Genomic DNA, 14345 nt, shown 5'->3' with positions numbered 1-14345 from the left:
TTTTTGTACTAGAAAACCCTAGAATGTCACACAAATTGCCTATGGAATTTGAATTTAAGGTAAAATAGTTTTGGGGAATAAATGATAAGAGGAAGGTAGCCTCAGAGTTGGGAATCGTAGGCCTGGGCTTGACCTTAATAATTATCTGATGTAGTTTTATTCTTGGAGCTGAGTCTCCTTTGAATTCCAAAAGAATTGCTTTTTCTCCTGAGAAATTTTTGAAATCTCCTGAAGGTAGGATCGAATCGGAATAAGGTGATTTTAAAATATGCTTTTGCTCTTTAATGGAATTCAATGTAGGAAATTGATAATGAATGGTACTCTTAAAAACTGGTAAGTACAAAGCACCACAAGCTGCTTTTAACAAGCAAGTGTTAAGCAGTTACTATGTTCTGAGCCCTGTGTTGCAAGAGTAATCACAACCCCAAAAAGAGATTTAATTTTTGGCTTTGTTCTTGTAAGGCAAAACAGGCCTTTGGCCATATCTACTTCTGGATTTTTTTCCCAGCAAAGTTGAATACTAATTCATCAAAACTGAGATGGAGTAAAACCCTCTGTTAATCAACAGCACTTGTCTACAGGGTGCCCCGTGATGGATAGAAACAAATGGAAACTTTATTGATCTTTTCTGTTATAATGAGTTGCATTTCCTCTTGCATTTTCACAGCACTTTTCTTGACCTATATTTTGTACTTACTTCATTCACACTGTAGAACATTATTTCCTTGTCTCTTTTCACAAATAGAATTTGAGCATCTGGAAGCAAGGAGTTATTCATCCTTATGTTCTTCAAAGCACCTCAACCAGTGCCTGGTACACAGTAATTATTCGGTAAATGTTTATTTGTTTGGTGGACTAAAAAGTGGAAGTCGTTCTCCCGAGTTCAAAGTACCATTGACCTTGAAGGGAGAGAAAACTAAAACACACAAAAAAAGAAAAAATATTTTCCAGAGCACAGAATTAAATGTTAAATGTATGCAGTTCAGACTAAAAATGCTTTAGGAGAGCAGAGAAAGATACCACCTTGGGCAGCTTGTTGGGAGATTTAATGATAAAGAAAGGGTAGATGTTGCCAATGCTTTAAGGAGATAAGAGTGGATCTGAGAGGAGTTTGAGTGGCTGTTCAGACAAGGGGACAACCTTTCCAAAGGCTAAAGGTAAGCATGGGTACTCAAATATCCCTGAAGTAGGTTCTTCTCCCCAAACCCAAGTTTTGGATATGTGAGCAAATTGATTCACTGTTCTGTAAAAGGATTTGGTTGGATTAGATTAATGGTTTGTAAAATCATTTTTTTAAAAGTGGTAGAATACTAACAATTCTTTCTCAGTGGTAGTAGGGGAAGCTATAGGGACACTATGACCCAACCTCTTGGCCATCACCTCAACCTCAAGGCCACTCCTGGGGTTCATCAACTGAATCCATGGGACACAATTTGAAGACTACTGAACTAGGAAACTCTAAAGGCTGAGAGGACAAAATAACCCCTCTCGACAATCAATGCACACAGTTTTTGCAGAAAGATAAGGAGACACCATGTCTGAGCAGAAGGTTGATGGAATGAGGCAGTAGGAACCGAGACTGTGAACACAAAGCAATCAGCACCATGCCTGGCACACAGTAGGCACTCTGGAAATGTTACGTAAATGTACGTGGGAACATAGGCAATGCACAAAAGACCCACAAGATCATAGAAAGCTTTGAAAGTCAGCCACCAGTGTTTGGACTTGAACAGCAAGAAACATGAAGCCACCCTAGATTCTTCCATGGGGGAGATACAGGATGAGCATGTGTCTGGGGAAAAGGAGTCTGGCAACTAACTGGATCCCTCAATTAACTCATATTTTATCTTTAATTAGAATATAGTCTGGATATTACATATTAGGAAATTACTGTTAGTTTTATAAGTTATAATAGTGGTTTTGTAGTTATTCACAGGAAATGTGTGCTGAAGTGTTGAGGGATAAATGGTTGTGATAGCTGCAACTGATTTTCAAATGATTTACCAAAAATATTACCCATACATAATATACCTATTATATATGCATACATATGTATACTCATATTCATCTAGATAGATACATATGGCAAAATGTGTGGTGGTTATATTGGTGTTTCTTACAATGTTTTTTTCTGTATGTTTGTACATTTTTATAATAAAAAGAGAAGTGGGAAAAAATGTTTTTCTTTGATCTTCTTATAAGAGAAAGAGGGCAATTACTATTATAATCATAAACATTAGGAGAATGCTTACCCTGCGTAATAAAGAAATTGGCCTGACCCAAAGAGAGGTCTGGTCCTTGTCCCTGGCTTCTGGGAGGTAACCTTTAAACTCTTAGAATTTTCCAAGTGAAAGAAACGTCTTGTTATTCATGGTGGGCTAGACAACTCCTGGTAGTTTATGCTAACAAGGTTACCCATGGTGTGGCCCTTGAGCCATGTGGTGTTAGCGTGACATTGGAGAGTGAGGGGAGAGACTAGAAACTGAGTTTAACCACATGGGCAAACAATCATTCATGCCTACATAATGAAGCTCCAATAAATACTCTGGACACTGAAGCTAAGGTGAGCATCCCAGGTTGGCAATATTACATGTGTATTGTTGCACATTGAGACCAGGAGAGTAGAAAATCCTGCGGATAATGGAAGCCTTGTGTTTGGAGCCCTCCTAGATTTGGCCCTATGTGTCTCTTCCTTTGGCTGGTTCTAAGGAGTATCCTGTAGTAAACTGTAACAGTTATCAGTGTAATGGCTTTCAGTAAGTTCTGTTAGCTCTTTCAGTGGATTATCAAAACTAGGCATGGTTTTAGAGACCCACCCTAGGCTTGCAGTTAGTGTCAGAAGTGAGGACAGTCTTGGAGACTGTCCCATTAGACTTTGCAGTTTGCCTAATTTCAGACACAGACATTCTCCTTAGTGCTTTAGTGTGAATATTTAATATTCATAACATGAGTAGTAATGGGTTGTTGTAGGTGTTACTATTTTGCCTGTTTTACAGATGAGGAAACTCAGGAACAGGGAATTAACTTGTTCAACATCATGCAATGAGTAAATGGTAGAACTAGAATTTAAACCCTGGCAAGCTGCTCCAGAGCCTGTGCATCTTGTTGATTAAAAAAAAGAAAGAAAGGAAAAAAAAAACTTAGAGATACAAGTGAAAAGAATTCCAGAGTAGGTAAGTCCAGGAAGCAATGAAGGTTGAGTCCTGTCCTCTCTGTTCTCTAACTACAGTTCTGTAGAGCAATAATGGTCCTCCTGAATGAGGACCCTCAGGCATACCAATACCTTGTTCTCTAAAAGAAAGAATCAGTGATGTTTAGTACTACATACTTTGTTTTCTAAGGCCATTAGGTGGGCTAATTAGTTTTACAAAGAAGGCTAAGAATTCTAACAGAACGGGCTTTCTCATTAACTCTTTGCTTATCCAAGTAGCCAGACATCCACATTCTCTGAACATTCCAGTTAATACCAAGCTTCCTGTAAAATTTCAGTGGCATGGAAAAATGCTTTAAAGGGGTGAGTAGTCCCACCTCTCCCCACTAATTGATAGTTGAAAATAATCCAAATCTAAATGGCATGTGCTTCAGAATTCCAAAATAGGGGTGGTAAGAATTGCAATACCCTAAGGAAATTATATTATGGAAGATTTATCTAATAAGTGAAGATGCCATATACTTTTCTTTTTCAAAATCCAAAATGCTCCAGCAGGAGGGTTCTAATTTTAACAGACCACAAGTCTCAAGACTTTGCTAGAACTATGATAGTTTTTTAAACCAACTAGCTGGATATTCATTAAATCAAATTGTCACAAAAGCTTGCACATAAATGGTACTATATAGGTGCAAGCAAAGTGTGAATGACCATAGTTGGACATTTGCTCTTTTAATATGTGCATTGGTGTGTGAACAATAGCCTTACACAGGTTGTAAGGATGCTATTCTTCTCTTGCCACCCCCCAAAAGCCTAGAGGTTCACTAGTGGGGAAAAAATTAGGCAATGCCAAGAGCACATAAAACATGAGAAATTCAAGAGATTAAAACCTCTGGTGCTGTATTATTCTTCTAAATTAGGCCTAATGGTCAAATGAATCTCTAAGAGGTTTTAGTTTATGCCCTTCTATGGAATTCCTTAAGTAGCTCATATTTCACTAGAACAAAAAACTCACAACTCTAAACGTCGTGTTTTGAGATTATGCTTTGCTCTAGTCATTTTGTGATTTTGTTCAATCATTAAAAAAAAGTTCTACAAGAAAATTATGCATTGTCCTAAAACCTTATGTAAGGAAAAAAAAAAAAGGAAAGAAGAAAAACACCTACCAGCAAAGAAAAATAGACAATGTGTACATGTTTCTTCATCTGTAAAATAAGAATAATAAAAGTGCCTATCTCCTAGGGTTGTTATGAGGATTACATGAATTAACATTTTTAAAGTGCTTAGAACAGTGCCTGGCTAGTGGTAAGCTACATAACTTTATTTAATAAAACTGGCGCAACTGGAATAAAGTGAACATCAGAAAACCTGCTCTGTCCTCCTTGCAAGTAATTAAGTACCATGAGGTCTTTCTGGAGGCAGAGAGAATTGAGGTACAGTGGGAGAAATGTGTTTCCAGCAAGTCTTAGCTAAGTGTGTTATCCCTTGGTTTATTTTCATTATATGAGTTTTTGATTCCTGCATACTTTGAAGTTTGCCTCAAGGGAAAAAGTTGAATTGAGACTCTTTGTGACTAGAATCTTTGGCCTGGAAGGTTGGCACCTTCAGCTATTTCTCATGCCAAGCCTTTGAGATTCTGTTCCCGTTCCAAAAGCTGACAGGAGCTTCCTTGCAAGTTCCTCTGAAAGAAATGAATGAGACTAAACTCCAACAGATTTCTGCCTTTACAGACCCTTAACCAGCCTAATTAGCTTGGTGAATTAGCAGTGTGAAGGGTAGAATGCAGAGCGGGCCCTAGCTCTGGGGTAGAGGCACATGGGGCCCCCACAGATCAGGAAGCAGGACCAGTTCTACATAACCAGTCGGGGAAGCTCCAGAGAGGCTTCACTGAAAGACTGCAGAAAAACTCCTGCCATCCTGCAGCTGATTCCACAAAAAAAAAAAAAAAAAAAAAAGAAAAAAAGAAAAAAAAAATGTGGATTTTGAACTGTGAACCATGCAAAATTATATTTATAACCAGAAAAGGCTTTGCTATGCCAAACCTAGTGGGCAATATTACATCATTGACACCTTTGGACTTAAAAAGAGAAAGAAAAATTTAAGGTGATTCTGAGTAGCTCTTTTCCATCTCTAAAGGGAGGGGGAAGGTGACTGAATTGAAAATGGCCCTAAACAGTGACAGTAGGGATCCAGGTCAAATACAAAAAAGAACTTCCAGGACTTCCTAAAATAACTATACTCAAGCCCTGCCAGACTTACTGCCTTATGTAATAAATATTTGTTCAAAACTCTTTTACTATCTTGAAATAAAGTTCATAGATAATATAACCTATCTACAGGCATAATTTCAAAATCAACACATACTGCTCTAGCTGTAAAATGAATAGGAATTTTTAAGTAATTTATAATAAACTGTATATTTTAATATGTAGATGTTTAGGCATGACTTCACAAGAAGACATAATGGAAGAGACAGATGCACAACCTGAGAAAAATAAAACCTACTCAGTGGATTATCAACATGCTTCCTTTATACTTGAAACTTTGAAATAGAGAATAAATATGTTGCTACGTATGCTTGGAATCACTGTGATGCAACAGCTACAGTTGCACTGGAGTCTCAAAGTCTACAAATGGTGTTACTATTGGCGATATGATTTTCTGAAATGGTGCACACAATACTTATTAAAGATCTAAACTAAACATGTTTAAAACTGCAAGAAAATTTCAGAAAATTCAATGTGAATATATTAAAACACAGTAGATTCTAGGCTTGGATACTTTTAAACAAGGTGACTTCTTTTTAACTACATGAATGTACAGTAGGATATGTGAAAGTCATGAGAGAATCAGGGCAATCCTACACTGTGTGGACCTGTTCACACCTTGCGAGATGTCTAGCATCCCTAGTTCCTGTCCAGGAGATGCCAGTGACCCACTCCAGAGCCCCTCACCTACCTCACCATCCCTTGTCACTGTGACAATTAATAATGACTCCCCAGAAGATGAAAACTTTCCCTGAGGGCACAGTACATCCCTCATTAGGACCTACTGCTCTAGAACTTCAGTAATCTCCCATCCTGAAGTCAGAGTGAGCATCTGGGTACAAGGTCAGGCTTCAAGGGGCAGGATCTGTGCTCTTCTTTGGGGGTATGATGGAACAAGGGATTCCAGGTCACAAATAAACTCCCTTCTCGATGGATCTCCACTCTTTTTTATTTACTTTTACCTTTTTTAAAGCCAAATGTTTTAAAAGTCAAGTGATACATAAGTACCTGCCTACTACACACTTGCCCTCCAAAGCTCACTCCCCAAAAGCAAACACTTTCAGGTATTCCCCTAGTGTCTTGCTTCCAAAATTCCAAATAATATGCTTTTCTCTTCTCAGTTATTGATTTTTTAATCATAATTTTTAATAATTTTATATTATATATGTTAATGTATATTATAAAAATAACTTTTAACCACAAATACTATCGATTGGCTTCCCAATAGGGAATACAAACTTTCATACCATATTATAGCATATATTGAAATTAAGCTATTTTCATATAATGTTTTAGATTTGCACATGTATAATTTCATGTGATCCTCACAGAATTGTTGACAGGTATGTTGTCATATCATTCCCATTTAAAAGATAAGGAAATCAGAACACAGATAAATGTTGTGCCCAAGACCACATGACTAGAAAATAGCAAAGATGGAACTGGAGCCCAGAATATTTGCTACTAATATACTGGTTTTTTTGTTTTGTTTTGTTTTGTTTTCATTTTTACTTCAACAGCTATGGAACCATTTTGCTTAGAGTCTCGATTCTGGTAAAAACTCCCTCCAGGTCCTGTTCCAGTGGCACCTTCTTCATGAAATTTTCACCCCTGGGCAGGTCTTTTCCTTATGTTTTCACAGCCATTTGTCTGTGCCTCCATCATAGCCTTCATCACAATGAATAATAAGTTGCTCTTTTCACAATCCTCGAAGTTAGAGTGTGAGCTCATCAAAGCCCTGGACAGCTTCTAATTCCTTTTTCTGTCCCCAGAGTGCAGCAGGGCATCAGGCGCCTAGAAGATGCTCAGTCATCAGGGAACGTGAAGAGACAACTTTAAGCAGAGGCCTGTGCTAAGTGCTGGGGGCACACAGATGACTAAAACAGAACACATTTCCTGACTTCCAAACCCCCAGGTTGGTCAACGTGTGGATGTATGAGTGCTACTCTCTGAAATGGGTAGAGGAGTTACATTTCAAAAGGATAGCTGCGCAGAGACTAAAGTCCTCAAAGTTAAAACATTAGCCAAGATGACAGGAAGCAGAACACATAGAAGACAAACAAGATTCATAATATAATGGAAATCCTAAGGGGGAATGCAGTTAACAAAAGAAGAGTCTGGTAAAGATATGCTCTTACAAGAACAAAGATGGAAAATAATTTTTGGCAATGAAATTGAAATTTTTGGCAGTGAAAGTGATTTATAAGTAAGGCCAACAGGAGAAGTTTACATTAATCAAGATGAGGAATGGTAAATGTGTAGATTGATATTTTATCTGGAAGAATATTAAATAGCTTTAACAATGGAGAAAATAGCTTTGGCTTTTCAGGTGGCCAAGGAGAGAAAGAAGAATAATTTAAAAAGTTAAGCCCTTTGTGTCAATATGATAAGAGAGAAGGAATAGAATTTAGCAATAAATGGGTCATGGATATGAAGTCGAAGGGAGTTTATGAAGATGTCAAATCAAGTGCTATTGACAAATTCCGCAGAAAAAAGGAAAATAAAGGAGACAATTTTTTTTGTGAGGGGTGAGTAATTCTTTCGTTTCTCAGCTGAGTAAGAAGCAATGGCAATGAACACCTAGTAGAAATTCCGGTACATATGTATAGTTGTGTCCATAAATGCCACCCAAAAGCATTTGAATTACCAGTCTTGCATTTCTTTTCTTTTTTAACCTAAGAAGGAAAACACTCTCATTAACTGTGCTAAATATCAGTTATAAATATATAAAAATATACATGTAATTATAACTACAGTTATAAGAAAATAAATAACTCCAAAGAGAGGTCCTATTCCTGAAAACAAGAAATAGGTTCCTGGTTCCTGGTTCCAGATTTGCCAGACAGACACCCTGCAAGGGCTGTATGGCCAAGATCAGCATCTCCTCCCAATATCTCCTTCTCAGAAACGGACTGGATTTGAAATCTGTTAAAAATTAGGGGAGAAGCAAATTGTCTTTATTCACAGAAAACAGGAATTTGTATTTAGAAAATCCTGAGGAACACACACATAGAAAAAAAAACTGTTAGAACTACTTTTGAAAAGTTTGGCAAAATTGCAGTACACAAAGTCAATATACAAAAATCAATTGTATTTCAGTATACTAGCAATGAACAATCCAAAATGTTCTAAAACTGAATTTTGGTGATAGTTGCAAATCTGGGTAAATTTACAAAAAGTAATTGAATTACACATTTAAAATGAGTATATTTTATGGTATGTAAATTATACCCCCATAAAGTATTTTTAAAATTGGGGGACGGCTCAGGCACAGTGGCTCAGGCTGTGATCCTAGCATTTTGGGAGACCAAGGCAGGAAGATCACTTGAGTCCAGGTGTTCCAGATCAGGCTGGGCAACATAGTGAGACCCTATCTCTACAAAAAATAAAATAATTAGCTGGGCATGGTGACACATGTCTGTAGTCCTAGCTACTTGGGATGCTAAGGTGGGAGGATAACTTGAGTCCAGGAGTTTGAGGCTGCAGTGAGCTATGATGGTACGTGCCACTGCACTCCAGACTGGGTGACAGAACAAGACCCTGTCTCTAAAAATTTTTACAAATTAGGGGATGTCAAAGAAGGAAAAACCACAATTTTTTTCCACAAAAGGAGGATTTTACTCGTTACCTACACCTAATTTTTATGTTGTAATATCTGGGGTCAAATACTCTGATTTTGAAGGACAGAGCCCCAAATGTGGTAATTCCAGGTCATTCAGAGTAGCAGTCAGATATACCACTGTCATAAACCTCAGTACTGACAACAGCAGGTAGAACTTTGGCAATCACATTTGATTGCCGTTTATCTGACAGAGCACTGAGGAGTCTGGTTACAGAACAACAGGTTAAGGTAAAGTGAAAGGTAAGTCAGATGGCCAGTGATGGCTATGGGAGATCAGGGTCCTTATTCCCTGGGTTTGTGTGGATCGTGCCTTAGAAGGACAAGAGGCATTGGGTACTTAGAAGGAAACTCCCTCCTCAACTTCCAAGACCCAGTCAGTTCCTTGGACCAGGGCAGGGGTCTTGGCTTTGGTAACTCAAAACTAACAGAATACTTAGAACTCTCAACAACTCTCAGCATCTTTGCACAGGCAGATGAAAATACACTCATGGGGATCTACAAATGATCATTGTAGAAAATGTCAGTGGCACAATGGCCCTATGCCTTTGGCTTTTTAAAGCCCTACATGGTTATAATTGAAGTCACATTTGTAAACATAAAACGTTCCCAATAATGACTATAAGAATATTTAATACTTCTGTGAACAGTTTGTATTTCCTGTCTAGAAGTAGCATAAAAACCATCTGTGGAGTAGGTTTAGATGCTGAGCTCAGAAGCAAAGTTTTCAGATATAGTCTCCCGTGCTCTGGTGATTGAAATAAACAGGTGCTCAACTGGAAAAAAAATTCTTTTTTTTTCATACAACAATAGAAATTCATGAACTGATTCTGTGGCATTTAGGTCTGTAGCCATTTTTATTCCAGCTTTTATTATTTTTAACCTATTATTTTTTAGAACTATTGAGTGACTTATGAAAAATACAGTAACCCATTGTCATCTGTCATATTTTAGGAGTACTCTGTCAGTGAAATATTCTGGTTCAAAGAGAGTTGACTAATTGTAAAGAATAGTAATAACAGTCAGAATAATACTTAGAAGCATTTACTAGGTCTTGAAACAAAGTTATCTTAATATTCTGCAAAGAAGTTTTAGTGAGAAAACTAAAGCAACTTGCTTGTAGTCAGGAGTAGTTCCACAGATTTCCTATGGGCCAAGCACTCTCTTAAGTATTTTATATACATGTTTCCCTTAGTGATCATAAAAAAAAAATCCAAGGAGAAACTATGATTACTCTTATTTTACAAATGAGATTTGGGAATAATTTTTGCCAAAAATTGCTATTTAAGTTGTAGCTAGAATCTCATTAGAGTCTACCTGGTTCTAAAGTGTATTCACACCTTTCTTCTTTGTGGTATCCAGCAATCCTTCTTTGACGATAGAAGATGCTTATTAAGTCATACAAGGATGTAAATACGAAACTGAATTATTTCCAGAAAAAGCTAGTTACATAGTCTCTCTTTTGTCAAAAATATCATCATCATCATTCATAACAAACATCTGCCATCCCCAAAAACAGCCACCCAAATTTCATTAATGATATTGAGTTGTTGAAAATTCCTCATGCCTGGCAAGTAATGGTCACTTTGGATTCAAAATATCAGCTCAATAAAAGGAACCACAAAAGGAAACGATTCTGTGGCTTTGATACAAAGCATGCATTGAAAAGGTAATTTATAAGAAAGGCAGACTGAATGGATTTCAGGATGAAATAATGAATGTTAAATTAGGCTTTTAAAATCTTGAATAAAGGAAGTTTCAAAGTGACCAAATACAATTTTGTTTAAAATTTTCTTCTTTTATATTAGCACTTTTTTTAGAATAGACAGTTATTCATCTTTAGCTGGCTCCTGAAATTAAATAAATTGATTTTTAAAAAGAGGGTTTTAATAAGATATTTCTGTTCTTGGTGCATTTTCATCTTTATCCACAATGTTCTCATAGAGTCCCAAGAGCTAAAGAGTAATTTGAGGTTGCGCCCTTTTAGGACCAGGTGAAATGGCAATTGTCAAAGTAATGGGGTCAGCAGAGGGCCGAACAGCTTTTTCTTAATTAGCATGTGAAAGGGAATGTGGGCAAATTAACCTTGTATAACTAAATCTCCACTTTATTTGCTGCTGGGTAGCCATATTGCTAGAGCTAGATTCATCTTTTAAAATGGAACTCTTTGGACAATCCTGTAACAGTTCCTTTCACATTCTTGGTCATATGTGTACATAATAGTAAAACTCACGTATTTAATACTACATGCCAGGTTTTAGTGTTTTACATATATTATTTCATTCTCACAATAACACTATGAGATACTGATTTTGTCAGGATTCATTACAGAAAAAATGAAACCACTTTATGCAAGCTGGGATTCAATACAAGGAGTTAGATGTTTACAAAGTTGTTGGAAAGGCTGAAGGAATAGGTTCTAGGCTGGGCCTCCAAAAGTAATTATCAGAGAAATACAGAACTCTCCCACTAGGAAAGCTACTACTTTCAAGGTCACTGAGAGCTAGTAAATTCAAGAATGCATCCCAGAGCAGGAATCTAGATTTGAGAAGCTGCTGCAGATCCCACCACTACCCCTGCCTTTGGCACCAAAGAAGCTGGGAAAAGGACACTGGACCCCTGCTGCAGATGTAGCCTCACACCTCCAAGATCTAGCGTTCCAGCAGAAAAATGGCCAAGTGAGGTGAGAGAATGGCCTCCACATCTGCCTTCCAAATTTCAAACAAGCCAATCTAAATGACGAGACTGACCTAACATCCAAATCCCTACGTGCCAAGGGGTTTGAGAAATGCAGATATTAGCTTTTCAACCTCCGCAGGAGGGGAAGGACCCCTGGAGGGAGGTGGAATATAGGATAAGCAAGGCAATCCACTTTATTCCAGGTAAGTACTATTATTATCATCCTTATTCCTCACCCTTCAGTTTGATAGATAGGGTAACTGAGACACAGAGGATTAAGTAAATGGCTCAGCCAGGTGTGGTGGCTCACGCCTGTAATCCCAGCACTTTGGGAGGCCAAGGTGGGAGGATCACTTGAGGTCAGGAGTTCGAGACCAGCCTCGGCAACATGGTAAAACACCATCTCCACAAAAAATACAAAACTTGGCCAGGCATGGTAGTGTGTACCTGTAAATCCCAGCTACTCCAGAACGGAAGCATGAGAATCCTTTGAACCCAGGAGGAGGAGGTTGCAGTGAGCTGAGATCGCACCACAGCACTCCAGCCGGACAACACAGCAAGACACTGTCTCAAACAAACAAACAAACAAACAAACAAAAAAGGAAATTGCTCAAGGTCACACTAAGACAGTCTTCAAAGAACCCATGTTCTTAACAACTGGGCTTCACTCCTGAAAGTCCAGTGTGTCCTGTGCACACACAGGTTAAATGAAAATCCCAGTAGCATTTTTTTTTGCTTAAGGTGAAATCTTTTTCAGTGATAAAAAACATTTCAACAGTGTAAATCAGGAAAGAGCCAAAGCTCTAGTACACTACTGCACTCTTATTGACCTTTACAACACTAAATAAAATCTACTTAGAGAGGATCCAGCAAAGCTTTTGAATTTCACTTTTTCAGAATCTCCAACTGTTGATTCAGGTACTATTAGATGCTATTTGAGACGATGTTTTGATGGAGAATCAGGAATATTCAGCAATTCAACTTCAAGTGAACCCCTACTATTCACTAAATTGAAAGGCAAATCTCAGAATTTACTATTAAATGTGACAATGAGTCCCTTCCAAAGACACCAAAATCAGGCCTTCAGAGAGGAATAGAAATATTTCTCATCCCCTAGCCCAGACCTGGTGTGGCAGAGACACTGCCTAGTGTTTACCAAGCCCATTTACTTTCCTCCTGGGCCCCTTGGCAATTAGGCTCAGGCTATGTGAGTTCTGACTAATGGAAGATGTGTGGCAGTGATATACATGACTTCTATGCCTGGCCACTCATTCTGTGACAACTAGGATTTGTGCTGTCAATGGTGGTGTCAAAAGATAGAAGAAACCTGAACTCCTCCTGCGTGACTGCCAACCACATTGACTGTGATGTGAGGAAGCAATATATTTGTATCAAATTAAGCCACTGAGGTCTGGGACTCTTTGTTAGACGAGTTAGCTGACCTGGACCTTCTGCTACAGATCTTCTTAGCAAATGCAAACCTGGGTCCAGTAGACCTAGCCCGCCGGCAGGGGCAGACCAAGTTAGATTTGTAAAGGAGCATACAAAAGAGTGTTACTCTCTGGATAGCCTTCATCTCATGGCATTTTTCCTACCATTTCCTCATCAACATCATCTCTTTTTTTCAAAATTAATCGAAGTGTTGCCATTTCCTTTGCCTTGCTTCTGTTTCGCAGGTCAGAGCAATGAACCTGGACACTGTTGGAGATGGAAAAAAAGAACTAAGATGGAGTCAGAGAAAAGGGACCCTACCTGTAATTGCTGGATGTGTAAATGCCTTAGACAGTTCCACCCTGGAAAAAGTAATCCCTTCCAAATGCTGAAACCAGGCCATCAGGATCAGCTCTCTTCTTCTACCTGAGATGGGTGCAAGCTGGGTAAAAAGACATCAGGGAGAAAGACGATTTATGCTTGCTCTTCGGTGCACCACTGGGAACCACTGGGACAGAATGCAATGCAAGGTTCTCCTTCTGTGTATTACAACACACGAACAGGCTAAACCAGATTTCCCTCCCTAAGAAAAAAAACTAAAGCTCTTTAAAAGCACCATTTATGTACAATAGCAAATATGTTCATTGTAGATCACTTTTAGCTGTTCATTAAACCAAATCCCCTGGGGACATTTTATGCCAATGCTTTGGAAATTAGTCCTTGTTACTTTATGTAATTGAAAACAATAAAGCTAAGTGCCTGTTACACTCTTCTGTAATTTGAAACAGGGATTTGCAACCTCAGGTCCTATCTCCAGGCCCTTCACTGGCCTCAGAGGTAATGATGGGAAACTGTGTGTTATATTCATTATATCAGAAAACCTTGCAGAAATGGCACATTTAACTTGAAGCTGTATGAGCTCACTAAAATGCCAAGTCTCTGTTTTTTGACTGAGATAACATCAATTTAGTACAATAATTGATTGTCTAAAAGGATAATGATTGATAACTGATTATCTCATGCTATCTGGGAACTTTAAATAATAGTAATTTAATGTCTTAGATTAATATAAATGGGATAAATTAATGATGCTATAAGACTTTCAAAAAGAAGACCCTTTAAGAAATAGGCTTCACGTAGAAAAAAACTATTAACAGTTTAAAAATCTAGCCAAAAAGTGGAAACAGCCCAAATGTCTGCC

The 14345-nt window shown here is 38.0% G+C and overlaps 1 long non-coding RNA gene across 1 annotated transcript, besides 1 other annotated feature; it reads left to right on the top strand.

Moving 5' to 3' along the window:
* Window positions 1-6893: 6893 nt before the first annotated feature.
* Window positions 6894-13909, top strand: LOC124901347 (uncharacterized). Its single transcript, XR_007059653.1, has 2 exons — window positions 6894-7330; window positions 13390-13909. It is a non-coding gene; the product is annotated as an uncharacterized LOC124901347 (long non-coding RNA).
* Window positions 12904-13104: a silencer, noted in NCBI's record as "peak5913 fragment used in MPRA reporter construct". NCBI's record gives its function as "represses an SCP1 promoter by STARR-seq MPRAs in K562 erythroleukemia cells {active_cell/tissue: K562}" and the evidence as "EXISTENCE:reporter gene assay evidence [ECO:0000049][PMID:32103011]".
* Window positions 13910-14345: the final 436 nt, after the last annotated feature.

Source organism: Homo sapiens, chromosome 6 (assembly GCF_000001405.40).
Source record: "Homo sapiens chromosome 6, GRCh38.p14 Primary Assembly".
NCBI lineage: Eukaryota > Metazoa > Chordata > Mammalia > Primates > Hominidae > Homo > Homo sapiens.
The sequence above is the reverse complement of the archived record's forward strand: the minus strand, read 5'-3'. Positions and strand labels throughout refer to the sequence as shown.